General features: G+C 51.9%; 1 protein-coding gene across 6 annotated transcripts in view, besides 7 other annotated features; it reads left to right on the plus strand.

Moving 5' to 3' along the window:
* Positions 510-1024: an enhancer, noted in NCBI's record as "H3K4me1 hESC enhancer chr19:38917687-38918201 (GRCh37/hg19 assembly coordinates)". NCBI's record gives its function as "activates a minimal SCP1, AML or CMV promoter by ChIP-STARR-seq in primed H9 embryonic stem cells {active_cell/tissue: H9 hESC(primed)}" and the evidence as "EXISTENCE:reporter gene assay evidence [ECO:0000049][PMID:30033119]".
* Positions 3139-3339: a silencer, noted in NCBI's record as "peak3471 fragment used in MPRA reporter construct". NCBI's record gives its function as "represses an SCP1 promoter by STARR-seq MPRAs in K562 erythroleukemia cells {active_cell/tissue: K562}" and the evidence as "EXISTENCE:reporter gene assay evidence [ECO:0000049][PMID:32103011]".
* Positions 7037-7176: a silencer, noted in NCBI's record as "silent region_10575". NCBI's record gives its function as "represses an Ori minimal core promoter by ATAC-STARR-seq in GM12878 lymphoblastoid cells {active_cell/tissue: GM12878}" and the evidence as "EXISTENCE:reporter gene assay evidence [ECO:0000049][PMID:35858748]".
* Positions 7154-27753, plus strand: part of RYR1 (ryanodine receptor 1) — a 153874-nt gene continuing 133274 nt past the window's right edge. For all 6 annotated transcript variants that reach the window (NM_000540.3, XM_011527205.3, XM_006723317.3 and 3 more), the window contains exons 1-13: positions 7154-7337; positions 14208-14327; positions 15812-15916; positions 17021-17095; positions 17181-17259; positions 17612-17724; positions 18047-18140; positions 19935-20028; positions 20157-20231; positions 21818-21974; positions 22112-22276; positions 25227-25348; positions 26282-26477. In NM_000540.3, the coding sequence (NP_000531.2) occupies positions 7293-7337; positions 14208-14327; positions 15812-15916; positions 17021-17095; positions 17181-17259; positions 17612-17724; positions 18047-18140; positions 19935-20028; positions 20157-20231; positions 21818-21974; positions 22112-22276; positions 25227-25348; positions 26282-26477 (1440 nt within the window). In that variant the 5' untranslated portion in view covers positions 7154-7292. The remainder of the gene's footprint in view (positions 7338-14207; positions 14328-15811; positions 15917-17020; positions 17096-17180; positions 17260-17611; positions 17725-18046; positions 18141-19934; positions 20029-20156; positions 20232-21817; positions 21975-22111; positions 22277-25226; positions 25349-26281; positions 26478-27753) is intronic.
* Positions 7908-8483: an enhancer, noted in NCBI's record as "H3K27ac-H3K4me1 hESC enhancer chr19:38925085-38925660 (GRCh37/hg19 assembly coordinates)". NCBI's record gives its function as "activates a minimal SCP1, AML or CMV promoter by ChIP-STARR-seq in primed H9 embryonic stem cells {active_cell/tissue: H9 hESC(primed)}" and the evidence as "EXISTENCE:reporter gene assay evidence [ECO:0000049][PMID:30033119]".
* Positions 15186-15361: a silencer, noted in NCBI's record as "fragment chr19:38932363-38932538 (GRCh37/hg19 assembly coordinates)". NCBI's record gives its function as "represses an EF-1alpha promoter that drives an FKBP-Casp9 reporter gene in an ReSE screen in phorbol 12-myristate 13-acetate-treated (for megakaryocytic differentiation) K562 erythroleukemia cells {active_cell/tissue: K562(+PMA)}" and the evidence as "EXISTENCE:reporter gene assay evidence [ECO:0000049][PMID:32094911]".
* Positions 15805-16765: an enhancer, noted in NCBI's record as "H3K4me1 hESC enhancer chr19:38932982-38933942 (GRCh37/hg19 assembly coordinates)". NCBI's record gives its function as "activates a minimal SCP1, AML or CMV promoter by ChIP-STARR-seq in naive H9 embryonic stem cells {active_cell/tissue: H9 hESC(naive)}" and the evidence as "EXISTENCE:reporter gene assay evidence [ECO:0000049][PMID:30033119]".
* Positions 26250-26777: an enhancer, noted in NCBI's record as "H3K27ac-H3K4me1 hESC enhancer chr19:38943427-38943954 (GRCh37/hg19 assembly coordinates)". NCBI's record gives its function as "activates a minimal SCP1, AML or CMV promoter by ChIP-STARR-seq in naive H9 embryonic stem cells {active_cell/tissue: H9 hESC(naive)}" and the evidence as "EXISTENCE:reporter gene assay evidence [ECO:0000049][PMID:30033119]".

Raw genomic sequence — 27753 nt, forward strand, 5'->3', positions numbered from 1 at the left:
TTTGAATGGAAACTCACAAGACATAGTATTTTGTATATTTCTTCATAGGCGTCTCTTATTCCTAGTTTAAGTGATACCATTTGTACCCTGGAAAACATTTTCACTTTCTGACTTTATTGTAACAAACCTCCACATAGCACCTACTGTGTACCACACACTGCTGTAAGGACTTTAAAAATATTAACTCATTTAATCCTCACACAATCCACTGTTACCTTAAAAAAAATTACATACCGGACCAGGCACGGGGGCTCACAGGGGCTCACGCCTGTCATCCAGCACTTTGGGAGGCCAAGGCAGGCGGATCGCTTGAGTCTAAGAGTTTGAGACCAGCTTGAACAACGTGACAAAACCCCGTCTCTACAAAAAATGTAAAACGTTAGGCCGGTGTGGTGGCTCACTCCTGCAATCCCAGCACTTTGGGAGGCCGAGGTGGGCGGATCACCTGAGGTTGGGAGTTTAAGACCAGCCTGAGCAACATGGAGAAACCCCGTCTCTACTAAAAATACAAAATTAGCCAGGCGTTGTGGCACATGCCTGTAATCCCAGCTACTCGGCAGGCTGAGGCAGGAGAATTGCTTGAACCCAGGAGGCGGAGGTTGCCGTGAGCCGAGATCGCGCCATTGCACTCCAGCCTGGGCAACAGGAGCGAAACTCTGTCTCAAAAAAAAAAAGTTAGCTGAGCGTAGTGATGCACACTTGTAGTCCCAGCTACTCAGGAGGCTGAGGCTAGAAGATTGCTTGAGCCCAAGGAGGTCGAGGCTGCAGTGAACCATGATGGTGCCACTGCACTTCAGTCTGCGTGGCAGAGCCAGACCCTGTCTCAAAAAACAAAAAACAAAAAAAAAAAACACACACACACATCAAAAAACATTAGAGATGGAGGTAAAGCCTTGGGGAAGCCCCTCCCCATCCCCTGCCTTTCTTAAGCAGGGTGTGACCAATATGACACGTTGTCGAGTTTCGTCCAAACTGCTGTCTGTGCGTTTAAGCACATCATATAAACATGTGCTCCTAGAAACAGACTTTTCTTTTGAGTGTGCATTTTTTTCTTTTTACCTAAATGTGTCATGCTCGACACTTTTTTTTAAATTGAAGTACAAAAAAGATCACGAATCATTAAGTATTTAGGTTGATGAAATGTCACCAACTGAGCAAACCTGTGTGACATTCATACAAATCCAGACACAGAACATTCTCACCCTCCACAAGCCCCCTGTCTTTCTTCCCAGCACGAATTCCCACAGATCCCCACTCGCCCGAAGTCTGGCGCAGTAGTTTTGTCTTGTTTTGAGCTGGATAAAAATGGACTCCTGTATTGAATCTGGGTTCTTTCTCTCCACGTCTTGTCTTTGCAGTTCTTCCATGTTATCATATTTGGTTATAATTTATTCCTTTTTTTGGCCGGGCGCGGTGGCTCACGCCTGTAATCCCAGCACTTTGGGAGGCTGAGATGGGCAGATCACTTGAGGTCAGGAGTTCGAGACCCGTCTGGCCAACATGGTGAAACTCCCATCTCTACTACAAATACAAAAATGAGCCAGGTGTGGTGGTGCGTGCCTGTAATCCCAGCTACTTGGGAGGCTGAGGCAGGAGAATCGCTTGAACCCGGGAGGAGGAGGTTGTAGCGAGCCGAGATTGCACCACTGCACTTCAGCTTGGGCGACAGAGCGAGACTCTGTCTCAAAATAATAATAATAATAATAATAATAATAATTCCATATAGTCTTTCATTATGTGACAATTCCATGACTTATATATATATATTTATTTATTTAGAGATAGGTGTTGTGGATAGTGACTAAGCGGGCTGGTGGCATGCTAACTTCTATTTTTTTTTTTTATTTTTGAGACAGAGTCCTGCTCTGTCGCCCAGTCTGGAGTGCAGTGGCGTGATCTCAGCTCACTGCAACCTCTGCGATTGAAGCGATTCTCCTGCCTCAGCCTCCCCAGTATCTGGGATCACAGGTGTGTGCCACCACACCCAGCTAATTTTTGTAGAGACGGGGTTTTGCCATATTGGCCAGGCTGGTCTTGAACTCCTGGTCTCAAATAATCCACCCGCCTCAGCCTCCCAAAGTGCTGGGGTTACAGGCGTGAGTCACAGCACTAAGTTCTATTTTTCATCAGTCTAGAGTCTGGTAATAACTAGACACTAAAACATTTTAAGTTAAGTGAGTTATCTATACAAGAGGACTATATGTCCTAGACTGTAAAAAAAAGACAAACTTATAGCTTCTCTGTTTTTTTTTTTTATTTTTATTTGGTCCTACCAACCTGACTCTTTTTTCTTAATTAAGACTCCACAGCAGGGTCTCCCTCTGTCACCAAGGTTGGAGTGCAGTGGCGAGATCCTAGCTCACTGCGGCCTCGGACTCCTGGGCTTAAGCCATCTTCCCACCTCAGCCTCCTGAGTGGCTAGGACTACAAGTGCACACCACTGTGCTCTGCTAATTTTTTTTTTATTATTTTCCTGTAGAAACAGGGTCTTACTTTGTTGCCTAGGCTGATCTCGAACTCCTAGGCTCAAGCAATCGTCCTTCCTATGCCTCCAAATTGCTGACTCTCCAGGCGTGAACCACTGTCCCCGGCCTCCGTGATTTATTGATCAATTTTCCTGTGATGGACATCTGAGTTGTTTCCAGGTTGGGGCTGCTGTGACTATTTGAGCATCTGACTTTTGATGAACATAGAGTGTACCATATTGTAGGGCAGTACCCAGGAGTGGAATAAATGGGTCATAGTAGTTACTGTGATTCTACCAAACATAGCATGTTAGCAATTCATTGAAATCGTTCTCTCAGAAGTATATTTTTCCACTTTTTTTTTCACTAAAAGAAAGAACCGTGGATGTATATTTTTTCCAATGCAGAACATTTAGACAGTCACTGAACTCGCCGTCTTTAGTTTTTCCATCACGCGATGTTACCATAGCTTCAGACTCTCTCTTCCTGCCCGTTTTCACCCTCTCTCCCCCTGGCCTCATGGTGTTCTGTCTGACTCTCTCAGACCATCTCCTGTAGCACCTGCATCTTGAATGTGACTTAACAATCCTGGCTGAGCAGAGACTTCGTAGTGTGGCAGTGTCTCCAGGCCCTGGGGACCCAGAAAAGCCTCAAGGAGGAGGTCAGAAATCCTGGCACTTGTTTCTACTGTACACAGGCAGCCTTAGTCCTCGGGCTGGCCAAGAATACCCACAATACCCGTGCTGATGACTACAAAGGAAGGGACTTCTGAATCAAACCACAGAAACTCCTAAGGCAGAAAAATGATGGACATGATAACATGCAAATACAGACTTTCTTCTTTTGTTGCTGTTCTTCTTTCTTTCTCTTTTAAATTTTAAAGATGGGGTCTTGCTATGTTGCCCAGGCTGGTCTCAAACTCCTGGGCTCAAGGGATCCTTTCACCTAGACCTCCCAAAGTGCTGAGATTACAGGCAGATTTTCTTTTAACGAAGACACCATGGGACAAATGTCAGATGACAGAAGGGGAAAAGGTGTTTGCAATATTTAAAAATCAATGAGATATTAATATCTAGAATATAGGTCAGGTGCAGTAGCTCATGCCTCTAATCCCAGCACTTTGAGAGGCTGAGGCGGGCAGATCACTTGAGATCAGGAGTTCGAGGCCAACCTGGCCAACGTGGCAAAACCCCGTCTCTATTAAAAATACAAAAATTAGCAGGGTGTGGTAGTGGGTATTGCTCTGTCATCCCGGCTACTTGGGAGGCTGAGGCATGAGAATCAGTTGAACCCAGGAGGTGGAGGTTGCAGTGAGCTGGGATTGAGCCACTGCACTCCAGCCTGGGAGACAGAATGGGACTCCATCTAAAAAAAAAAAAAAAAAAAAAGAATATAAAAGGAACAGCTGCAAATCAGCAAGCGAAAAAGACAGCAACCATAATAGAAAAATGGCCGGGCTCAGTGGCTCCTGCGCCTATAATGTAAGATTACATGCTTGTAATCTCAGCACTTTGGGAGACCGAGGTGGGTAGACTACCTGAGGTCAAGAGTTCAAGACCACCCTGGCCAACATGGCGAAACCCCGTCTCTACTCAAAATACAAAAATTAGGCTGGGCACAGTGGCTCACGCCTGCAATCCTAGCACTTTGGGAGGCCAAGGCAGGCGGATTGGCTGAGCTCAGGAGTTCGAGACCAGCCTGGGCAACACAGTGAAACCCGATCTCTACTAAAATACAAAAGAAATTAGCCAGGTGTGGCAGTATGCGCCTGTAGTCCTGGGGGTGCTGAGGCAGGAGAATTGCTTGAACCCAGGAGGCGGAGGTTGCAGTGAGCCGAGATGGTGCCACTGAACTCCAGCCTGGGCGACAGAGCAAGACTCTGTCTCAAAAAAAAAAAACAAAAAAAAGTGAGCAGGGATCACAATGAGCAGATAACAAAGAAACCCAAAACTCTGATAGGCACTTGAGAAGATGCTAGAAATTGTTGGTAACTCATCAGGGAAGTGGAAATTAAAATGACAGCGAGTCCAGGCGCGGTGGCTCTTGCCTGTAATCCTAACACTTTGGGAAGCTGAGGTAGGAGGATCACTTGAGACCAGCAGTTCAATACCAGCCTGGGCAATATAGTAAGACCCCACCTCTATAAAAAATTTAAAAGTTAGTTGGGCGTGGTGGCACAAGCCTGTTGTCCCAGCTGCTCGGGAGGTTGAGGTGGGAGGATCCCTTGAGCCCAGGAGTTCCGGGCAGCAGTGAACCATAATTGCGCCACTGCACCCCAGCCTGGGCAACAAAGTGAGATCTCATCTCTAAAAATAAAATAGAGAAAATAAATTAAAAAACAGTGAGTCACCCTATATAAATCTGGCAAAAATTAGTTAAGTTGGAAATGCCACATGAGGGTTGGGGATATGGGGACCCGGGGACCCTCATGCACTGGTAGTGAGTAGCCATTCCGAGGGCTACCCAGCACTACTTACACAAATGGTGCGCATGGATATGTCACCCAGCAATTAGCTTCTGGGTACGCACAATAAAACATTCTCCCTCAGCTTCCTGGGGGACCAATACACAGATGTTCCCTCCAGCATTATTTCGGGAGAGCTGGAGGCAGCCTGGGTGTCCGCTCCCAGTAGGGGTAGGTGGAAAAACAGAAGGGATCAGTCACCAGAGAATCCTGCAAAGCCACCACTGTCACACACCAGGTGTCCACAGAGCAACAAGGGTAGGTCTTAAAACACATAATGATGACTGACAAAAATAAGAAACACTATTAATATCTTATGATATAATGCTCAATGACACAGAATCATTTTACATTTACATAAAGTTTTAGGGAAAAACAATATTTAATATACAACTATGCGTTGGATAATGTATAACAGATACAACATAGAATTGTATTGTACTGTATAATTATATTAGCCTAAATATATAATTATATAATTATACATTATATAATGCCAAATTATATAATTCCATAATATGACACAAACTTTTGTGCTATTTATTGCAGTTGTGTTAACATCAGTATTTAATTATGGAACACCTAGAAACCTGCTATACCTTGAAGAACGGTTTCTATGTAATTTTGTTTAACTATGGGATATTGTTTTATATAACTTACTGTATACCACTACATGTTAATAAAAAAAATTTTTTTTTTTTTTTTTGAGGTGGAGCCTTGCTCTGTCACCTGGGCTGGAGTGTAGTGGTACAATCTCGGCTCACTACAACCTCTGCCTCCTGGGCTTAAATGATTCTTGTTCCTCAGCCTCCCAAGTAGCTGGGATTAGAGTCGTGTGACACCATGCCCAGCTAATTTCTGTGTTTTTAGTAGAGTCAGAGTTTCACCATGTTGACCAAGCTGGTCTCAAATTCCTGGCTTCAAGTGATCTGTCTGCCTTGGCCTCCCAACGTGCTGGGATTACAGGCATGAGCCACTGTGTCTGGCCTAGTAATAATTTTAATAGGGCTGGACGTGGTGGTTTACACCTGTAATCCCAGCACTTTGGGAGGCTGAGGTGGGCGAATCATGAGGTCAGGAGTTCGAGACCAGCCTGGCCAACATGGTGAAACCCCGTCTCTACCAAAAATACAAAAATTAGCCGGGTGTGTTGGCAGGTGCCTGTAATCCCAGCTACTCAGGAGGCTGAGGAGGAGAATCGTTTGAACCTGGGAGGTGGAGGTTGCAGTGAGTCAAGATCTTGCCACTGCACTCCAGTCTGGGCAACAAGAGCAAGAGTCCGTCTCAAAATAAATAAATAAATAAATAAATAATAATAATAGCAACACTTACATTACATTAACCAGGCACTGGCACTGTTTTAAGTTTTATCTCATTTAATTAATTATCTCATTTAACTCTCCCAACAACCACGTGAGGTCGGTACTATTAATATTCCCCTTACTGGATGGGGAAACCGAGGCACAGAGAAGCTAAGTGGCTTATCCATGTAACTCAAGGAAGTGGCAAGGCTGGGTGGGATTCAGATCCAGATTATCTGGCTTGGAGTCGGAGTCCTTGTTCTTTTTTTTTTTTTTTTCAGACGAAGTCTCGCCCAGGCTGGAGTGCAGTGGCTCAATCTCGGCTCACTGCAGCTTCTGCCTCCCGAATTCAAGGAGTTCAAGCAATTCTCCTGCCTCAGTTTCCCAAGTGGCTGGGATTACAAGCATGTGTCACCACGCCTGGCTAATTTTTGTACTTTTAGTAGAGACGGGGGTTTCACCATGTTGGCCAGGCTGGCCTCGAACTCCTGACCTCAAGTGATCCACCCACCTCGGCGTCCCAAAGTGCTGAGATTACAGGGGTGAGCCACCACTCCCGGCCGGAGTCCTTGTTCTTAATCACTATGTTTGGTGCTTTTTAAAGTCAGGAGATCTGGTGCACATCCCTGCTCTGCTGCGTGATATCTTGCAAGAACTTCCCCACTCAGAGCCTCAGTCTGCCCTCTGTGAAATGGGAGAATGATGGCACGTTACTTACCGTGGTGGGGAGAAAGCGCAGGTACCTCCTAGATACTCTCTCTCCCACCCCACCTCCGGCGGCCAACGGCCAAGCAAACCTCCAGCCAAGATTTGGGGTATGTGGGCAGGGCTCCGGCGAAGGGGAGTGGCCGGGGAGTCCTGGTCCAATGGGGCCCGGGGGCGGGGACTTCCTCCCATCTCTGTCCAGCATGCGTGTACTCCTCGCAGTTCCATCTACCTCGCGGGTGCCTCTGGTGTCTCCAGAGGTCTCCGACCCCAGCCCGCCCCCAGCCCTCCCGCCCAGCCCGCAGCCCCCTCCCTCTGTTCCCCGACCTCAGACCCTGGGCTTCCGACCTCGACATCATGGGTGACGCAGAAGGCGAAGACGAGGTCCAGTTCCTGCGGACGGTGCGTATCTCTGGGTTAGGGGCCTGTGGGGCTATCTCTTGGGGCTCTCTGAGGGTCTCTCTGTCTCTGAATGTCCCTGTCCGGCTTGCTGGTGGTCTCTGAGACTCGAGGTCTCTTCCTATGTCACTTTGAGTGACTGTCACTCTGTCTTTTAGTCTCCTTCACCTTTCTCACTACAGAGAATTAGTAGGATTGGGGACTCCAGAATGGGAAAGGGATCTTCGGTTGCCCTCTCTTCTGACTTTAGCGATTTGTCCCCCACAAGAAGGACCCCCGAGGGAGCACACCCTCACACCATCTTGGAAGCAGGCACTTGGGGAAGGTGGTTCTAATTCCTGGGCTTGATTTAGCCATCCCCCCACCCCCACCTTAGCCCTAATTCTCTTTTTGCTCCAGACTCTGACCTATTTAAATTCTTGAGAAGGGAGCTGGAGTGAGCTGGAGGACACAGCTGCTTCCAACTCCTAGCCCTTGAGGGTCTTGTGGGGGAGGGATCTCTTGGGTTCTGGGTCTTTCTTTCCTTCTTCGTTTTGGGCAGGAGGGCTGCTCCCAATGGCTGCTAATGGTCTTGCAGGGTCTCTGGGTGGTGTCTCTCCCCATCTGTCTCTTTGGGTGTCTCCATGTCTCTGTCTCTTCCTCCATCTCAGTCTCCCTGTCTCTGTTTCTTAGCTTAAGGCCCTCTGATTTTCGCTGTCTCTCTAGCTGGGTTACTCCCTGCATCTGAGCCCCAGCTGGGGGCAGGGATGGGAATTGGAACAACAGGTGTCCCTCCCAGAATAGCCGGCTTTTCTGGGGCCTGGGCAGGGGATGGGGAGGGGATGAGAGGGAGGAGGGGCTGCCATCTCCTTGTCCTTCCCATCTTCCCCTCCCAGTGGCTCCGCAGGGTGTGGGGTCGTAAATATGGGAGGGGACGTCCTCTCCTCTGGGCTAGGTCTGCTGACCAGACGCTAGCCCCGCCCCTCCCCCCGGGGCCCTGGAGCCACACAGGAAATGCTGACACAGCATTCCTGCCCCAGAATAGGACCCTGGCGAGCCGGGTCCGGTTTCCTGGGAGAGAGGAACAAACAGCTGGGGCTGGTAGTGAAGGATGGGGACAGCTGGGAAGGGGCCTAGCTTCAGCCGAGACTCTCTCCCCAGCCCCAGCCCCTCAGCAGACACCATGGGTCGGGCCCTCCCCAGCCCTAATAAGACCATGGCCATGGCCACTGGCTCTTGAGCTGTCGCTCTAAACCAGGCCCTGTGCCCTGGGCCTCTGCCTCCTGAGACATCTAATTATATCCTTGCTGCCCTGTCTTCTGAGGTAGGGTCCTATCTTTATCTCCCTGACAGATTTGAGGGAAACCAAGGCCCGAATGGTAGAATCACTCACCCAAGGTCAAGGCCAGGAAGTGGCATCTCTGGATGCCCCTGGTGCCCAGCCCCATTGCCTTCACCAGAGAAAATCTGGGCCCAGACTTGCCAAAGTAGTCAGCGTTAGGGTTCTGGAGGCTTGGCCCTGGAATCTCTCCACCCCAGACTGGGTCAGTTTTTCTGATTGTTACTGAGGTCGTGGTGGATTTCTCAAAACTTTCTGGAGGCTGGGCTCAGTGGCTCATGCCTGTAATCTCAGCACTTTGGGAGGCCAAGGTGAGCGGATCACTTGAGGTCAGGAGTTTGAGACCAGCCTGGCCAACATGGTGAAACCCCGTCTCTACTAAAAATACAAAAAAATATTAGCCAGGCGTGGTGGTGCATGCCTGTAATCTTAGCTACTCGGGAGGCTGAAGTGGGAGGATTGCTTGAACCTGGGAGGCAGAGGTTGCAGTGAGCCGAGATTGCGCCACTGCACACTCCAGCCTGGGCGACAGGGCGAGACTCCATCTCAGAACAAAAAACCTTCTGGACCACATCCCGCCCATAAGAAACATTCTGTCTTACAACTCAGTACATGCACACATGCATAGACATGACTAAAAACCAACTTTATTGAGGTATAATTGACCTGCAATAAATTTTACCCAGTTTATGTGTTCAATGAGTTGTTTTGTTTTTGTTTATTTATTTATTTTTTTGAGATGGAGTTTCACTCTTGTTGCCCAGACTGGAGTGCAATGGCGTGATCGCAGCTCACTGCAACCTCTGCCTCCTGGGTTCAAGCGATTCTTCTGCCTCAGCCTCCTGAGTAGCTGGGATTACAGGCGCGTGCCACCAAGCCGAGCTAATTTTTTGTATTTTTAGTAGAGATGGGGTTTCACCATGTTGGCCAGGCTGGTCTTGAACTCCTGACCTCAGATGATCCACCCATCTTGGCCTCCCAAGGTGCTGGGATTACAGGTGTGAGCCACCACGCCCGGCCTTTTTTTTTCTTTTTGAGACAGAGTCTCAATCTGTTGCCCAGGCTGGAGTACAGCAGTTTGGTGGTTGGTTCAACGCAACCTCCACTTCCCAGGCTCCAGTGATCCTCCCACCTCAGCCTCCTGAGTAGCTGGGACTACACGTGCATAGCACCATGCTTGGCTAATTTGTAAAATTTTTTGTAGAGGTGAGGTCTCACTATATTGCCCAGGCTGGTGTCAAACTCCTGGGCTCAAGAAATCCTCCGGCCTTGGCCTCCCAAAGTTTTGGGATTACAGGCATAAGCCACCATGCCCGGCCTTTCTTCTTTCACTCAGCATAATATTTTTGACATTCATCCATGTAGCATGTATTGAGTTTGTTGCTTTTTGTTGCCGAATATTATTCCATTGTGCGACTATACTGTGGTGTGTTTATCAGTTCACCTGCTGATGGACATTTGAGTCGTCTCCAATTTTTACTATTATAGACAACACAGGGCCTGTGACCATTCACTTGTACCTATTTTTAACTGAAACAAGTCTCATAAAATGTAGATGGCCCCTGAAGCATGATGGGCACGCTGTGATTTTCTATTCTTGCTCCATTTTGCTTCGTTTGGTTAAGTATGATGGCCACAGCCCCCCCAAACTGATTTCACTTCCCTTTGGTGGGTGGTGACCTCTACCCTTACCCAGGCTGGGGTTTCTCAAACCCTGGCCCAAGTTAGAAGCTCCTGGGGTCTGGTAAACAGTACGTATTCCCTGCTGACCCCAAATCAGGCTCTTGATGGTGGTAGGGGACTGGGCCAGCAGGGAAGCTATATTTTTAACCAGAACCCTCCGCTTCCTTCATTTTTTTTTTCTTTTTCTTTTTTTTTTAAGATGGAGTCTTCCTTTGTAGCCCAGGCTGGAGTGCAATGGCACAATCTCGGCTCACTGCAACCTCCGCCTCCTGGGTTCAAGCGATTCTCCTGTCTCAGCCTCCCGAGTAGCTGGGATTACAGGCATGCACCACTACGCCCGGCTAATTTTTGTACTTTTAATAGAGATGGGGTTTCACCATGTTGGCCAGGCTGGTCTCGAACTCCTGACCTCAAGTGATGCGCCCACCTTGGCCTCCCAAAGTGCTGGGATTACAGGAATGAGCCACCTCGCCCAGCCTGCCTTCATTCTAATTCAGGAAAAGTTTGAGAATCAATGTGGTAATGATTGGGCTCTCTGTCGCTGCTTTGCACTCTGGCTTTGCCATTTGCCTGCTTCCTAATTTGGGGCAAGTGATTTTTATTTTTCTCTCTGAGCCTCAGTGTTCTCATCTGGAAAATGGGGACAAGATTATATACAATAGCCAGACCCCATGGCTCACACCTGTAATCCCTTCGCTTTGGGAGGCTGAAGCAGGACGATTGCTTGAGGCCGGGAGTTCAAAAACAGCCTGGGCAACATAGGGAGACCTTGTCTTTACAAAAAATGTTAAACTTTAGCTGGGCGTGGCAGTGTGCACCTGTAGTACCAGCTACTTGGGAGGCTGAGGTGGGAAGATCACTTGAAACCAGGAGTCGGAAGCTGCAGTGAGCTGTGATCTCGCCACTGCACTCCAGTCTGGGCAACAGAGCAAGACCCTGTGTCTACAAAAATATATATATCTTAAATTAGCTGGGTGTGGTGGCATGAGCCTGCAGTCATAGCTTCTCAGGAGGCTGAATGGAGAGGATCACTCAGCCTAGGAGTCCAAGGCTGCAGTGAGCTATGATCGTACCACTGCACTCCACCCCAGGAGACAGAGTGAGACCCAGTCTCTTAAAAAAAAAAAAAAAGTTATTTTTCAAGGGGCCCATGCAAGTATCTCTCTGACCTCATCTCCTCCCTGTTTGCCCCTCCTCCTTGCGGCCACCATCCTGCTCCATCTCCTGTGCTGTCCCTCAACACCCCAGCACCCAGACTCCCTCCTCTTACCCCAGAGATGAGCAGGCCTGATTCCTTCTTGTTATTTGGACAAGGCTCAACTCAAATGTCACCTCCTTGGAGAGGCTGTCACTTCACTCCCTCACTGATCTCATCCCCATCCTAAAAGCCACTCTCTTACATCAGCCTGGGTTATTTTTTCTATAACACCTATCACTGACATTAACATTACATATTAATTCACCTGTTTATTCCCTGTCTCCACCATGAGGATTTAAGCTCCCTGAGGGCCGTGATTTTTTTTTTTTCCTTTTGAGACATGGTCTCAATCTGTCTCAGGGGCCCCAGGGAGGTGGGGCTTGATTATGACTCACTGCAGCCTCGATTTCCCAGGCTTGGCAGTCCTCCCACCTCAGCCTCCCGAGTAGCAGGGACTACAGGAACATACCACCATGCTCGGCTAATTTTTAATTTTTAACTTTTGTAGAGATGGGGGTCTCATTATGTATATTGCCCAGGCTAGTCTTTTTTTTTTTTTTTTTTTTGAGATGGAGTCTCGCTCTGTCACCCAGGCTCGAGTTCAGTGGTGCGATCTCGGCTCACTACAAGCTCCGCCTCCCAGGTTCACACCATTCTCCTGCCTCAGCCTCCCGAGTAGCTGGGACTACAGGCGCCCGCCACCACACCCGGCTAATTTTTTGTATTTTTAGTAGAGACGGGGTTTCACCATGTTAGCCAGGATGGTCTCGATCCTCTGACCTTGTGACCCTCCCACCTTGTCCTCCGAAAGTGCTGGGATTACAGGCGTGAGCCGCCGTGCCTGGCCCCAGGCTGGTCTTAAACTCCTGGGCTCAAGTAATCCTTCTGCCTCAGCCTCCCAAACTGTTGAGATTTGCAGGTGTGAACCACCGCGTCCAGCCAAGGCAGGGATCTTGATCTTCATTGACTTTATTCACTGCTCTATATTTAGTGCCTAGAACAGCACCTGGCCCATGGCAGATGCTCAACCAAAGTCTGTTAAATGAGTGTAAGGCCCAGAGCATAAGGCCTGGGAGCCAGTAAAGTGCCTAATAAAAACAGCCTATACCATTACTATTTTTTTTTTTGTTTGTTTTTTGAGATGGAGTTTTCCCCAGGCTGGAGTTTCACTCTTGTTGCCCCAGACTGGAGTGCAATCTGGTGGTAGCAACCTCCACCTCCCAGGCTCAAGCCATTCTCCTGCCTCAGCCTCCCAAGTAGCTGGGATAACAGGCATACGCCACCATGCCCGGGTAATTTTGTATTTTTAGTAGAGACAGGGTTTCTCCATGTTGTTCAGGCTGGTCTCGAACTTCTGACCTCAGGTGATCCACCTGCCTCGGCCTCCCAAAGTGCTGGGATTACAGGCGTGAGCCACCGCACCCGGCTATTTTTGGTTTTGTTTGTTTGTTTTTGAGATGGAGTCTCACTCTGTCACCCAGGCTGGAGTGCAATGGCTCGATCTCAGCTCCCTGCAACCTCTGCCTCCTGGGTTCAGGCGATTCTCCTGGCTCAGACTCCCGAGTAGCTGGAACTACAGGCGTGCACCACCACACCCCGCTAATTTTTGTATTTTTTAGTAGAGATGGGGTTTCACCATGTTGGCCAGGCTGGTCTCGAACTCCTGACCTCAAGTGATCCACCTCCTCGGCCTCCCAGAGTGCTGGGATTATAGGTGGGAACTACTGCGCCCGGACTCAATACTGTCCTTTATGGTACTTCCAGGATCCAGCCCGGGCTGTCACATTGCATTCAGGTGCCATTAGAAAGCAGTCTATAAATAAAGATAAAATAGCAGTCTATTATTAAAACAACACGCAAAAGAGAGAATTTAGAGAAAGATGAGCTTAAAAAGCAATTTAACTTGAGCAAGTTTCCACCTTCCAGTGGATCACTTTGCAGACCCCACTTGGGAGGCCTCTGGAGCCAGTTGGACTGAGGTTCAAATCCCAGCTCCTCCTGTTACCAACTGTGTGGCCTTGGTCCATCTGTGTCCCACTTTGAGCTTCAGTTTCCCCATTTTAAAATGGGGATAAGCCAGGCACAACAGTTCATGCCTGTAGTCCCAGCTACTCAGGAGGCTGAGGCAACAGGATTGCTTGAGTCCAGGAGGTCAAGGTTGCAGTGAGCTATAATTTACACCACTTCACTCCAGCCTGGGTGACACAGCAAGACCCTGTCTCTAAAAATAAAAATAAATGGGATGATTACTTGAGGTCAGGAGTTCGAGAGCAGCCTGGCCAACATGGCGAAACCTTGTCTCTACTAAAAATATAAAAATTAGCCAGGTGTGGTGGTGCACGCTTGTAATTTCAGCTATTTGGGAGGCTGAGGCAGGAGAATCGCTTGAACCCAGGAGGTGGAGGCTGCAGTGGGCTGAGATTGCACCACTGTGCTCCAGCCTGGGCAACAGAGACTATTTCAAATAAATAAATAATAAAAAATAAAATAAATGGGATGATGCTGGCTTGTATCTCAAGGAGTTGTCAGGAGCAGGTAGAGGGCTTGGGTGGGTTGATCTTGTCAGTCACTGTCTTTTTCATAAGGACCAGGGTGGGAGGAGGGGCCTGTGGTCTGCAGTATTTGTGGTATCCGGGCCAGGCCCCCCTGGAGACGCTGCCCCTCGGTTCCGCAGGACGATGAGGTGGTCCTGCAGTGCAGCGCTACCGTGCTCAAGGAGCAGCTCAAGCTCTGCCTGGCCGCCGAGGGCTTCGGCAACCGCCTGTGCTTCCTGGAGCCCACTAGCAACGCGCAGGTCTGTGCAGGAGGGAGAGGGGCCTGGGGACAGGGGCGTCTGAAGGGGCAGAGAATCTTGGGTCCAAAGAAGAGGGTTCTGGGAGTCTGAAAGGAGGTGCTGACAGGAGAGAAAGTGAGGAGGGGGGCTAAGGCTAAGAGGGGCTACCTGAGGTGGGGAGGGGTGGAGGTCTGAGAAGGGAGGGGCAGGGGGTCTGGGGTGTTGGAGGGAATCCCTGTGTGCACAGAAGTGTGGTAGGCCAGGGCGGGGGCTGCTGATCCAGAACGTTCCTTGGCAGGTGGCTGAGTGGGCAGAAAGCCTCGGGTTTAAGGGGAGGTAGCCTGAGAGTCCAGAAGAAGGGCTGGTTGGGGAACGGGTCTCAGGAGGGAGGAGCAGGGAAACTGAGGGACGGCTGGGGCGTGGGGAGGGGGGGTAGGGAGGGACGAGGCAAAGGACCTGGAGCACAAGGAGGAGGGGTTTTATTTTTTATTTTTAAAAGTTTTTCAGGTAACAAGACTGAATTATTATGGGGTGTTTTAGGGGGAAGGAGGCCCTCGGCGGGGGCGGGGGAGGATGGGACAGGGCCTGAGATGCGGAGGGCATCTGATGGGGGTGGGGGCTTGAGGGTCTTAGGTAGTGGAGTCTGAGGGAAGGTGATCCCCAAGTCCGAGCTCGGGAATTCTGAGGGTGGGGGCAGCTGGAGTCTGAGAGGGCAGGGGATCGAGGGGCCGAGGGCCTTGGATCCAAGGCAAAGGGGCCTGGAGGGTCAGGGGACACCCGCAGGGGCCTGACTTGGGAGACTGGGGGCTGAGAGGTGGAAGGAGCCTGGGGTCTGAAAGGAGGAGACCTGGAGGAGGGGCAGGGGCTGGCAGACCAGGGGATGTGGAATCTGATGGGGGGGAAGTTTCAGAGTCTGAGCGAGTGGGGTCTGAGGAGCAGAGTCTTGAGTTTAGGAGTTGGACGGTGGGAGACTGAGGAGGGAGTATAAGGTTGAGCGCCCTCCTGTGTCTGTGAAGCAGAGGTCAGAGGTGTTTGAAGGAAAAGGCAGGAGCGAGGACTGTGTGATGGTGGAGGCAGGAGGTGGGGCTTCCTTTGGGGTTGGAGGGATGTGGGGTCATCTGCAGAGGAGGACACAGAACAGGAGATTCCTGTCCTTGGAGCAGGGTCAGTGTGTCTCAGGGGAGAGGCATGGGGGTGAGGCTTCCTATGAGATTAGGTGGAACACGGGTTAGTGGGGAGGGTTAGGGTTAGGGAAGTTTCTATGGAGTCTGGGTGGGTCTGAGGTGTTTGAGGGAGGAGGCACAGAAGAGGTGTTTTCGTGATGTTGGTCTAGATTCAGTGTGTCTGAGGGGGATGGCAGAGGGCAGGGCCTTCCTGTGGGGTGGGGGTGGGGTCTGGCGTCTCAAGAGTGTGGGCATCCAGACTAGGGGAGGGAGTGTGGCAGGGAATGTTGCTGGGGTGGGGGGGTCTTCTGACCCCTCACTTACATCCCCCTCCCACCCCAGAATGTGCCCCCCGATCTGGCCATCTGTTGCTTCGTCCTGGAGCAGTCCCTGTCTGTGCGAGCCCTGCAGGAGATGCTGGCTAACACGGTGGAGGCTGGCGTGGAGGTGAGGACCCCACCTGGGGGTGGGCGGGGTGGCAGAGATGGGCGAGAGGACCCAGGGGTCGTTTAGGGCACGGTGGCAAGGATGGGTGAGAGGACCCGGGGGTCGCTTACCATCTGCTCTTCTTCCTCTCTCTGCCCTGCCCCCCACAGGCCCTCAATTTGGATAAGTGGGTAGGTCCGGCCTTGGATGTCACCTGTCCTTCCACCCCTCCTGACCCCAGGCAGGCCCGTCTCTCAGGCCCACGCCCTGCACACAGGGGCTGGAGGGTCCTCCCCCACCCCAGTTGTCAGGGGCTGTGGAGCCCAGAACAGGCCAGGCAGGAAGGAAGGAAGGGGATGGGGGCTTCTGAGCCCCTGTCCCCGACGCCTGCTCCTTTCTCCTCTTTCCAGTCCTTTCCCCCAACCCTGATCCCAGCTCCTCTCCGCATGGGACCTCTCCCACCTCCCCCATCCCAAGCGTGAGTCCCTCTGGTCCAGGAGTGGGTCCACCATGTGATCACCTGGCCCCATCACATGGTACCCCCATGGCGCCCTTGGAGCATGGGCATGTGACAGCCATGATGGGAGGCATGGTGACATCGAGCAGTCAGATGTCTGCCCCAAGGTCCGGGTTGGGGACCTTGTGCTGGGGAGGGGCGGCTGTCTTAGACTGCGGGTGACATTCACCTATGGAACAACTGCTAGGCCTGTCCCAGAGCACACGGGCTGCAGCGCAGCATGATGGGGGAGGTCAGAGCAGAGGGGCCAGAGTACACGGAACACGAGATCTTGGGGGTGTCCTCAGGGTCCCCAGGAAACTAGAAGACGGGTTCATTCTCCTGAGTGATTTCCAGCCAAGGTGAAGGCAGCAGAGAGGACAGAGTGGGCTTTGGGGAATATAAAATGCTCCATCCATAGGCATCTCAGAGATATAGTCCCTGCTTCCGTGAATGGGGAAACTGAGGCAGAGAGTCCTGCAGGAGTCTGAGCTGAGGCTGTTTTACCTCTAGGCCTGAGCATGGTATTTTACAGGGAGCATCTTGTCACCTGTGACTAGGCCAGACCTCTTGGGGATCTGGAGAGTCCGGGGATCTGTGCTTATTCTGTTCCCTCCCTCCCCCTGCAGTCATCCCAGGGCGGGGGACACAGGACGCTCCTGTATGGCCATGCCATCCTGCTCCGGCATGCACACAGCCGCATGGTGAGTGCAACCTCGGTGGGCGTGGGCAGGGGCCAGGGCATGTGGGGCCTGCTAGAAGGAGGCTGACCTCCCTCTACAACCCTAGTATCTGAGCTGCCTCACCACCTCCCGCTCCATGACTGACAAGCTGGCCTTCGATGTGGGACTGCAGGAGGACGCAACAGGTGCAGCAGCTGGAGGGGATGGGGGTGTGAAGGGGCCCCGCAGCAGGGATTCAGGGGGTAGAAGGTCTGCAGAACGCCAAGGCAAGCATGAGACTACCCTGGGGACATGAATGGGGGCTTCGTAGCAGAGAGTCTGCGGTACAGTCCAGACAGGGAGACAGACACACGTTGGGGACCACTAGGCAGAGAGTCTGAAGTCAGGAACGGGGAACTGTTAGGCAGAGAGTTGGTGGCAGTGATAGGAGAGTTGTGGGCCAAGGGCCCGGGAGGCCTGGTGGAGGGAGAGCCCTGGGGAAGAGCATTCTGGGAAGCCATCATCTGACAGCCACCCCCATTCCATCCCCACCCATAGGAGAGGCTTGCTGGTGGACCATGCACCCAGCCTCCAAGCAGAGGTCTGAAGGAGAAAAGGTCCGCGTTGGGGATGACATCATCCTTGTCAGTGTCTCCTCCGAGCGCTACCTGGTGAGCCATTGCGGTTCCTCCTGCTCCCAGGTCTGGGGGCGCATGGGATGGTCCCCATCTTCTCACCATGGGTTTGCCTGGCTGATCTCCCACCCCCAAGGTCCTGACTCCCAATTTCCCATTTCCTGACCCCTGACATCCAATTTTCTGATTTCTGACCTCCCATTGCCCGACTTGATCATTTCCTGATCTGTGATCTCTGATGACTCTGTCTCCCATCTGCCGGTTTCCGGGTATCCACCCTTGATTTCTGGCCTCTGACGCTGGGACTCTCGCCCACCCCTGCAATCGTCTCTGACTGCCGCATCCTGGTGGCCCCCAGCACCTGTCGACCGCCAGTGGGGAGCTCCAGGTTGACGCTTCCTTCATGCAGACACTATGGAACATGAACCCCATCTGCTCCCGCTGCGAAGAGGGTGAGGGCCCCAGACCTCCCCCTAAATGGAGATCCCCCCAAAACAGACCCTTAATGTTGCCCTTCAGGCATACCCAAATGGAGCCTTGGAACCTCAGACCTCAAACCTAGATCTCCAAATTATGGCTCTCACACTTAGATCTCCAGCTGACCCCAAATCCAGACCCCCAGAGCTCAGAACCCCCCCAAACCCCGAACTAAATATCAGGCTCCCAAACTTAGACCCCAAAGTATTAGCCCCCAAGGCTCCTAAACTCAGATTCAAATCTTAAAACATCAAGTTTAAAGCTTGTTTAAAGGCCGGGCATGGTGGCTCACGCCTGTAATCTCAGCACTTTGGGAGGCCGAGGCAGGTGGATCACCTGAGTTCAGGAGTTTGAGACCAGCCTGGCCAACATGGCGAAACCCCATCTTTATTAAAAATGCAAAATTATCTGAGTGTGGTGGCATGTGCCTGTAATCCCACCTACTCAGGAGGGTGAGGCAGGAGAATTGCTTGAACCTGGGTGGCAGAGGAGCCTGGGTGACAGAGCCAGACTCTGCCTCAAAAAAAAAAAAAAAAAAAAAAAAAAATTAAACTCCTTAGACAATAAGCATAGACTATGATCTCAGCCCCTCAAACCCAGACCCCCAAATTCAAACCTCAGATCCCCAAACCAAGACTCCAATCTTCAGCCCTCCAACCTCAGACTTCCAAACTTCAATTTCAAATCCCAAAAACCAAAATCCACCAAAGCAAACTCCCAATTCAGATTCCCATGCTAAGACTCCAGGCATGGCCCAATACTTTGACCCCAAGTCTCATACCCCAAACTTCAGAGTCCTAAACCAGACCCACGCTGGGACTCAAACCACAGATGGTTTTTGACCCTCAAACTCAGACCCTGAAACTCAGACTCATCAACTTCTAACTACAAAGCTCAGATCGTTCCTACGTCATACCCCAAAGCTCAGACTTCCAAACCCTAGATTGTAACCTCAGATCCCCAACCTCACTTTCCAGCTTCTGGCCTCCAAAATCAATACTCAAGGCCAAGCGCGGTGGCTCACGCCTGTAATCCCAGCACTTTGAGGGGCCAAGGCGGGTGGATCACTTGAGATCAGGAGTTCGAGACCAGCCTGGGCCAACATGGCAAAACCCCATCTCTACTAAAAATACAAAAATTGGCTGGGCATGATGGCGGGCGGCTGTAGCCCCAGCTACTTGGGAGGCTGAGGCAGTATTGCTTGAATCTGGGAGGCAGAGGTTGCAGTGAGCCAAGATTGCACCACTGCACTGCAGCCTGGGCAACAGAGCAAAACTCTGTCTTAAAAACAAAACTAAACAAAACGAAACAAAAAAACCCTCAAAATTCAGGCCCTAACTCCAGAACCCAGCCTCAGACCCAACCATCACCCTTCTAAACCCAGAGGCCAAACCTCAACCCTAGAACTCAGACTCCAACACCAGTGAACATTAGACCTCCACCTTTCACCACACACACACTCTGACCCCAACCTCAAAAGTCCAAACTCAGAACCTTAAATGACAGACTCACAACTCCCCCAGCCTCAGCTCTGCAGACCCAGACCCCCCAAATTAGGTGCCCAGCTTCAGACCCCAAGTCTCATATCCCCACTTCAGGCCTCAACCTTGGCCTGAAAATACCCTGAAACTCAGACCTCCAACTGCAAAACCCCAAACTCAGCCCTCAGGTTCCCCCAGGGGAGGAGCAGGGCCCCTGACTTCATCTTGGCTCCTGGTCTTCCTGGGGCTCCAGCCTCCCATTGACCAACTTCCCTTGCTCCTCTCCAGGCTTCGTGACGGGAGGTCACGTCCTCCGCCTCTTTCATGGACATATGGATGAGTGTCTGACCATTTCCCCTGCTGACAGTGATGACCAGCGCAGGTCTGGGCTGTGGACGAGAGGGCCTGGGGTCTAGGGGTGGACGTGGAGGGCTGGGACCCTATGAGTAGGATTAGGGACCAGATTCCGGGGAGCTGAACCCTTGACTTCACTCTCTTCTGTGTCCCCAGACTTGTCTACTATGAGGGGGGAGCTGTGTGCACTCATGCCCGCTCCCTCTGGAGGCTGGAGCCACTGAGAATCAGGTAGGGCGGGGAAGATGGGGAGAGACCAGGGAGAGGCTGGGGTCACCTGGCAGGCTGGGAGGACAGAAAAGGTCTTGAGGGAAGATCTGATAAAGAGACTGAAGGGTCTCGAGGGAAAATCAGAGCAGCCTGAGAGAGAGATGAAAATCTCGGCCAGGCGTGGTGACTTCATGCCTGTAATCCCAGCACTTTGGGAGGCTGAGGCAAGAGGATCACTGGAGGCCAGAAGTTCAAAACCAGCCTAGGCAACATCATGAGACCCCCGTCTCTGCAAAAAAAATAAAATAAAATAAATAAAATAAAGAATTAGCCGGGTGTGGTGGTGTGCACCTTTAGTCTCAGCTACTTTGTGGGGCTGAGGTGGGAGGATCACTCGAGCCCAGCGGGTCAAGGCTGCAGTGAGCTGAGATCCTGCCACAGTACTCCAGTCTGGGTGACAGAGCAAGATCCTGTCTCAAACAAACAAACAAACAAAACAAAAACAAAAAGAGGCCAAGCGTGGTGGCTCACGCCTGTAATGCCAGCACTTTGGGAGGCCGAGGCAGGTGGATCACTTGAGGTCAGGAGTTCCAGACCAGGCTGGCTAACGTGGTGAAACCCTGTCTCTACTAAAGATACAAAAATTTGCCTGGTGTGGTGGTGGGCACCTGTAATCCTTGCTACTGGGGAGGCTCAGGCAGGAGAATCCCTTGAACCCAGGAGGTGGCGGTTGCAGTGAGCTGAGATTGCACCATTGCATTCCAGCCTGGGCGACAGAGCGAGACTCCATCTCAAAAAAATACAAAAACAAAGGCCGGGGGCGGTGGCTCACACCTGTAATCCCAGCACTTTGGGAAGCCGAGGCAGGTGGATCATTTGAGGTCAGGAGTTCAAGACCAGCCTGGCCAACATGGTGAAACCCCGTCTCCACTAAAAATACAAAATTAGCCAGGCGGTAGTGGCACGCACCTGTAATCCCAGCTTCTCGGGAGGCTGAGGCAGGAGAATCACTTGAGCCTGGGAGGCAGAGGTTGCAGTGAGGTGAGATTGTGCCACTGCACTCCAGCCTGGGCAACAGAGTGAGGCCCTGCCTTAAAAAAAAAAAAAAAAACAAGCAAAACAAAAATAAAAAATGAAGTCTCTCTGGAGTCCTGTGGGAAAAGGAGGTTTGGGGGGTTTTTGAGGGAGAGATTGGGGGCCCTGAGTAAAATGATGGGGGAATTTAGGGGTCTGGAAAAACGAGGGCACTGGAGACATTTGGGAAGCCCTGAGGAAGCTGTGAAGGCCTGAGAGAGGATTGGGGTTCCTAAGGGAGGACTAGGGGTCCTAATTAAGATGGTTTGAGGAACACTGGAAGAGGGTTCGGGGCTTGAGGAGGTTTGGACCAAGACTATAGTGTCCAGGCCGGGTGCAGTGGCTCATGCCTGTAATCCCAGCACTTTGGGAGGCCGAGGTGGGAGGATTGCTTGAGCCCTGGAGTTCAAGATCAGCTTGGGCAACATAGCAAGACCTGGTTTCTGTAAAAAAAAGAAAAAGAAGAAAAGACTGTAATGTCCATGGGAGAACTGGGGGGTCCTCTGACTCCCCTTGGCTCTCACCCTCCACAGCTGGAGTGGGAGCCACCTGCGCTGGGGCCAGCCACTCCGAGTCCGGCATGTCACTACCGGGCAGTACCTAGCGCTCACCGAGGACCAGGGCCTGGTGGTGGTTGACGCCAGCAAGGCTCACACCAAGGCTACCTCCTTCTGCTTCCGCATCTCCAAGGTCAGTGGGGTTTGTGGCGCCCTCCCTCACCTGAAGCCCCCAGTCCCAGCCCAGCCTGCACTCTGCAGTCCCTCAGGGGGGCTCCCCTGCTAAACACACAGGCAGAGGAGGCTGACCTGTGTCCCCTGCCCCTGTAGGAGAAGCTGGATGTGGCCCCCAAGCGGGATGTGGAGGGCATGGGCCCCCCTGAGATCAAGTACGGGGAGTCACTGTGCTTCGTGCAGCATGTGGCCTCAGGACTGTGGCTCACCTATGCTGCTCCAGACCCCAAGGCCCTGCGGCTCGGCGTGCTCAAGAAGAAGGTGGGTGTAATCCCAGCTACTCAGGAGGCTGAGGTGGGAGAATCGCTTGAGTCCAGGAGGTCAAGGCTGCAGTGAGCTGGTGATCATGCCACTGTACTCCAGCCTGGGTGACAGAGTGAGATGGGGTGCAGGAGGGTACTGAGGGGTGGTGCTTGAGACCTTGGGAGTTTGAGGATGAGACTGAGAGAAAGATAGAGACTGGGAGAGAAACTGAGACTGAGAGAAACAGCAAAAAAGACAAAGGGATATATCTACATGGAGAGAGAGAGAGAGCAGAAATCTGTAGACAGACAGGGAAAGGCAGAGATAAAGAGGCATGGAAACAGAGAAATAGAGAAAGATAGAGACAGAGAAACAGAGACACGGCCGGGCGTGGTGGCTCATGCCTGTAATCCTAGCACTTTGGGAGGCCCAGGCGGTTGGATCACCTGAGGTCAGGAGTTTGAGACCAGCCTGGCCAACATGGTGAAACCCTGTCTCTACTAAAAATACAAAAATTAGCCAGGCGTGGTGGCAGCTGCCTGTAATCCCAGCTACTCAGGAGGCTGAGGCAGGAGAATTGCTTGAACCTGGGAAGTGGAGGTTGGGAGTGAGCCAATATCGTGCCATTGCACTCCAGCCTGGCTGACAAGAGTGAAACTCCGTCTCAGAAAAACAAAAACAAAACAAAACAAAAACAAAAACAGAGAGAGTGAGAAAAAGATGGATAATGACCAACTGAGAATAACTTTCAACAAACAATTACTGAGTACCCGCGTTGTTCTGGTTGTGTGTGCAGAAAATAGATGAGCTGTAGCGACCTGTTCCCTGCCCTCCCAGTGCTCAGAAATTGTGAACAAACTGCCTTTAGTGAAGTACATAGTTTTACAATTAAGGAGTGGGAAAACTATTTTTGGCAGCAGGAACAGCATGTGCAAAGGTCCTGAGGTTAACATGAGCTTGGCTTGTTGCAGTAGCAGAAAGAAGCCACAGTGTGGAACAGGGTGAGCAGGCTGGAGTAGTGGTTGGTGAGGAAAGAGAGGGGATGGGAACAGCTCGTGTGAGGCCTTGTGGGCCATGGGAGAGGTCTAGTTTTGTTTGTTTGTTTGTTTTTTGTAGAGACGAGGTCTCATTATATTACACAGGCTGGTCTCAAACTCCTGGGGCTCAAGTGATCCTCCTGCCTCAGCCTCCCAAAGTGCTGAGATTAAAGTGAAGTGTGAGCCACTGCTCCTGGCCAGGTTCTAGTTTTTATCCTGAGTGAGATGGGCTCACAGGAGATTTTGAGCAGGGCAGGGAAGTGACCTGACGCAGGATCACAGAATTCTTAGGCTGTCTCTGGGAACAGACTACGGTCAGGGGACAGAGCCAGAGCAGGGAGACCAGAGAAGAGACTGCCATGATGTTACAAATGGGAGATGACAGTGGACAGGACCAGGAGGGGACTGTGGAGTTGGGAAGAGTAGTAGATTCTGGTGGGGTCCTGAGGGTAGAGCCAACAGGATTTGCTGACAGATTGGCTGTGGGGTGAGAGAAGGGGAGGGGTTGAGGATGATGCCATGATTTTTTGCCCCAAGCAACTGGAAGGATGGAAGTGCTGAAACAGCCTCATTGTCTGGAGTATCACCCAAGGTTTGTGGTCTCACAGCCACAGAGAACAAGGACGCAGACACACAAAGAGTGAGGTTAAGAGGGGACATTTAATAGGCGAAAGAAGGAGCTCTCTACTGCAGAGAAGGGTCCCAGAAAAATGGGTTGAAATGCAGGGGGTTCCATGGTGAAATGCAGGGGGCTTTACAGATGAGCTGGTGGGGAGGTGGTATCTGATTTACCTAGGGTGCAAAAGACTGGTTGGACCAGTTGTGCCATTTGCATAGGGCACAAATTTCTGGCTGCCTCCACCCTAAGCTTTTATTGTACAAGCGGGTCCTCTGCCTGAGCTGGCCATGTTGCCCATTCCTTTTCTGTACAACGTGGAAACAATAAATAAATAAATAACTAAATAAAGGGAAGATGGAGCCTCCATGTTGGACATGCGTAGCCCCAGGTATACCTTTTCTATCGGCACATTCCCCCATGCAAGCTTGTAGCTCGATTTTCCAGGCTGCTCTTTGTTAGAAAAGAAATTATTTTGGGGGCTGCTTTCCGTTAGAAAGGAAACTCTGCCGAGGACTCTGTTGCCCTTACTCTCTGCCTAAATAATTTTTTTCTACCTCTTGTATCAGTGCCATCAACCAAGTTAGGGGACAGTCAGTGTTGGCTCAGAAGGACAGGGATCTTAGGCTTTACTGCCAGTGCCTAGAACAGAGCCACTTACTACAGCCTTGCTGAATGGACAAGTAGGAATCCTTGGGGAGGCACTCGTTTGCAAAAACAGGCCTGTAGTTGAATACATGAGCCAAGGGCGTAGAGACGGGGCCTGGGCCATGTCCAAAGTGGGGACACGTGAGCATCATCAGCAGGTGGATGGTGTTTACAGCCGCAGACTGGATGAGTTCTGGGGAGGTCGGCTTGGGGTGAAGCTGGCAGCCATGATGGTCTCACCTCGTGGAAAGGTGGTCTGGCATTCTATCTGGGACAGGTTCAATTTGGGGGTTAGAGCTTTCTGGTCGGGGGGAATGTTAAGTCAGCAGTAGGTACAGGTGGAAAGGGTCTGGCCTGGAGACAGAGACAGGAAGGAGATAGGGATAGAGAGATAGAGAGGGAGAGGCAGGGACAGAGGTGAGAGAGATAGAGAGACAAAGACAGACAAAACCAAAAACAGGGACAGAGAGAGACAGAGAGGAGAGAGAGAATCAAAGACACAGAGGAGACAGATGACGGGGGACAGAAAAATGAGGAGGAATTTGCAGTGAGATTCTGCAGAGCAGGGAGGAGGGGGCAAGTGCAGAACTCAAGTCTAGACAGACGTCTTGGGGGCATGGCCCTGGGTGGCTGGGCCCACTCCAGACCTCTGTCTCCCCACTCCTAGGCCATGCTGCACCAGGAGGGCCACATGGACGACGCACTGTCGCTGACCCGCTGCCAGCAGGAGGAGTCCCAGGCCGCCCGCATGATCCACAGCACCAATGGCCTATACAACCAGTTCATCAAGTGAGCAACCTGCCCTCCCTGCTGGGGTGACTCCTGTGCTGTCCCATGCTCCGGGCATCCATACACTTGGCCTCTTTCATCTCTACCTCTGTTGCCCACACCCTTGTCTAACATATACATGGGCCAAGCGCAGTGGCTCACACCTGTAATCCCAAGACTTTGGGAGGGCAAGGCATGAGGATCGCTTGGGCCCAGGAGCTTGAGACCAGCCTGGGCAGCATAGGGAGACCCCGCCTCTACCAAAAAAAAAAAAAAAAAAAAAAAAATTAGGCTGGGCACAGTGGCTCATGCCTGTAATCCTAGCACTTTGAGAGGCTGAGGCGGGCAGATCGCTTGAGCCCAGGAGTTCGAGACCAGCCTGAGCAATATAGTGAAACCCTGTCTCTATAAAAAAAATAACAAAATATTGGCCAGGTGTGGTGGCACGTGCCTGTAGTCCCAGCTGCATGGGAAGCTGAGGAAGGAGGATTGCTTGAGCCGAGGGGGCAGAGGCTGCAGTGAGCCACTATACTCCAGCTTCACTGACAGAGCGAGACCCTTCTCAAAAAATAATAACAATAATATACACATGACCCCTAACCTCTAAACTCCTGACCTCTGTACACTTGACCCCTAATCTGACCTTGACAACCATGATCACATTCCTGATCATCACCCAACTTTCACACCCCTGACACCCAGAGCCTGGACCCTGGACCTCTCCATCCCTGAGTTCCGGGACCCCCCTGTACCTACACAGGAGCGAGTCCCAGTCCCAGCTCTGCCCTTGGCCATTGTGTGACCTCGGACAAATGCTTTTCCCTCTCTGCGTCTCGGTCTCCCTCTCTGTAAAACGGGTGGGTCTGGGGGAGTCTTGCGGGAGTGAGGTTGCGGCAGTGACGTTGCGGCAGTTAGCGCTCCCAGCCGTGGCTGACAGCTGCGAGGTCCCTGTAGGAGCCTGGACAGCTTCAGCGGGAAGCCACGGGGCTCGGGGCCACCCGCTGGCACGGCGCTGCCCATCGAGGGCGTTATCCTGAGCCTGCAGGACCTCATCATCTACTTCGAGCCTCCCTCCGAGGACTTGCAGCACGAGGAGAAGCAGAGCAAGCTGCGAAGCCTGCGCAACCGCCAGAGCCTCTTCCAGGAGGAGGTGAGGACGTGGCGAGGGCGGAGCGGGGCCTGTGGGCCCAGGGGGCGGGACCACTGAGGGGCGGGGCCACGGCGCTGGGCGGGGCAGGGCCTGAGGGACCTGGGGAAGTAGGGTCTGAGAAGGGGGCGGGGCAGGAGAAGGAGCCGGACAGGAACCCCAGCCAGTGAGAACACGATGGGGCGGGGCCTTGGGAGGGGCGGGCCTGCTGTGCTGGTGGGCAGGACCTTTGGGAAGGGGCAGGGCGTATGGCCGACCAGGGGGCGGGGCCTGGAGAGAAGGATGGAATAAAAGAGCTGAGGGGCGGGGCCTATGTGAAGCTCAGGTATAGGGTGAGGCCTGGGGAGGTGAGGCCAGGAGTGGGGCCAGAGGTCAGAGGTAGGGCTGCCGACTCAGCGGGCGGGGTCTGCTGGCGCGGGGTCTGTGGGGTGGGCGGACAGAATCAGTGTGGGGTATGGGAGGTGCCGAGGCAGAAATAGATCTTTGGGCATTAGGGAGGGGAGGCCAGCTGTGAACAAAACAGAAAAAAATCTCTGTCCTTATGGAGTTGACATGGCGGGGAGAGACAGGAGATCAATAAAATAAATAAGTAAATTGTATGGCATATTAGATGGTAATAACTGTTAAAGAGAAAAATTCAGCAGGTAAGGGGTAGGGAGTGTTGGGGTTTTGCAGTTTAAGACAGAGCTGTCAGACAGGGTGACCTGGAGGAAGAGAGGAAGCCATGTGCAAAGGCCATGAGGTGGGCGGGTGTTTGGCATGTTCCAGAAACAGTCAGGTGGTGATTGGAGCAGGGAGGCTTGGGTGGGGGAGTGGGAGGAAATGAGGGCAGAGAGGTGACGAGGGCCAGGCCTTGGTGAGGACTTTGGCTTTGGGAGCCACAGGAGGTTTTGGTCCTCTACAGTCACAGCTAGTTAGTGGCAGAGCCGGTCAGTGTGATGCCACTTTGGTTGTGCTCTCCACTTTGAGGCACTGCTCCTCTCACTACTGATCTAGGCCCCAGGATGCAGATACAACAATTGTTTTGTTTTGTCTTGTTTTTTGAAACAGAGTCTCTCTCTGTCACCCAGGCTGGAGTGCAGTGGTGTGATCTTGGCTCACTGCAACCTCCACCTCCCAGGTTCAAATGATTCTCCTGCCTCCTCAGCCTCCCAAGTAGCTGAAACTACAGGTGTGAGCCACCACGCCTGGCTAATTTTTGTATTTTTAGTAGAGATGGGGTTTCGCCATGTTGGCCAGGCTCGTCTCAAACTCCTGACCTCAGGTGATCCACCCGCCT

The sequence above is a fragment of the Homo sapiens genome, chromosome 19 (assembly GCF_000001405.40).
Source record: "Homo sapiens chromosome 19, GRCh38.p14 Primary Assembly".
NCBI classification, from domain to species: Eukaryota; Metazoa; Chordata; class Mammalia; order Primates; family Hominidae; genus Homo; species Homo sapiens.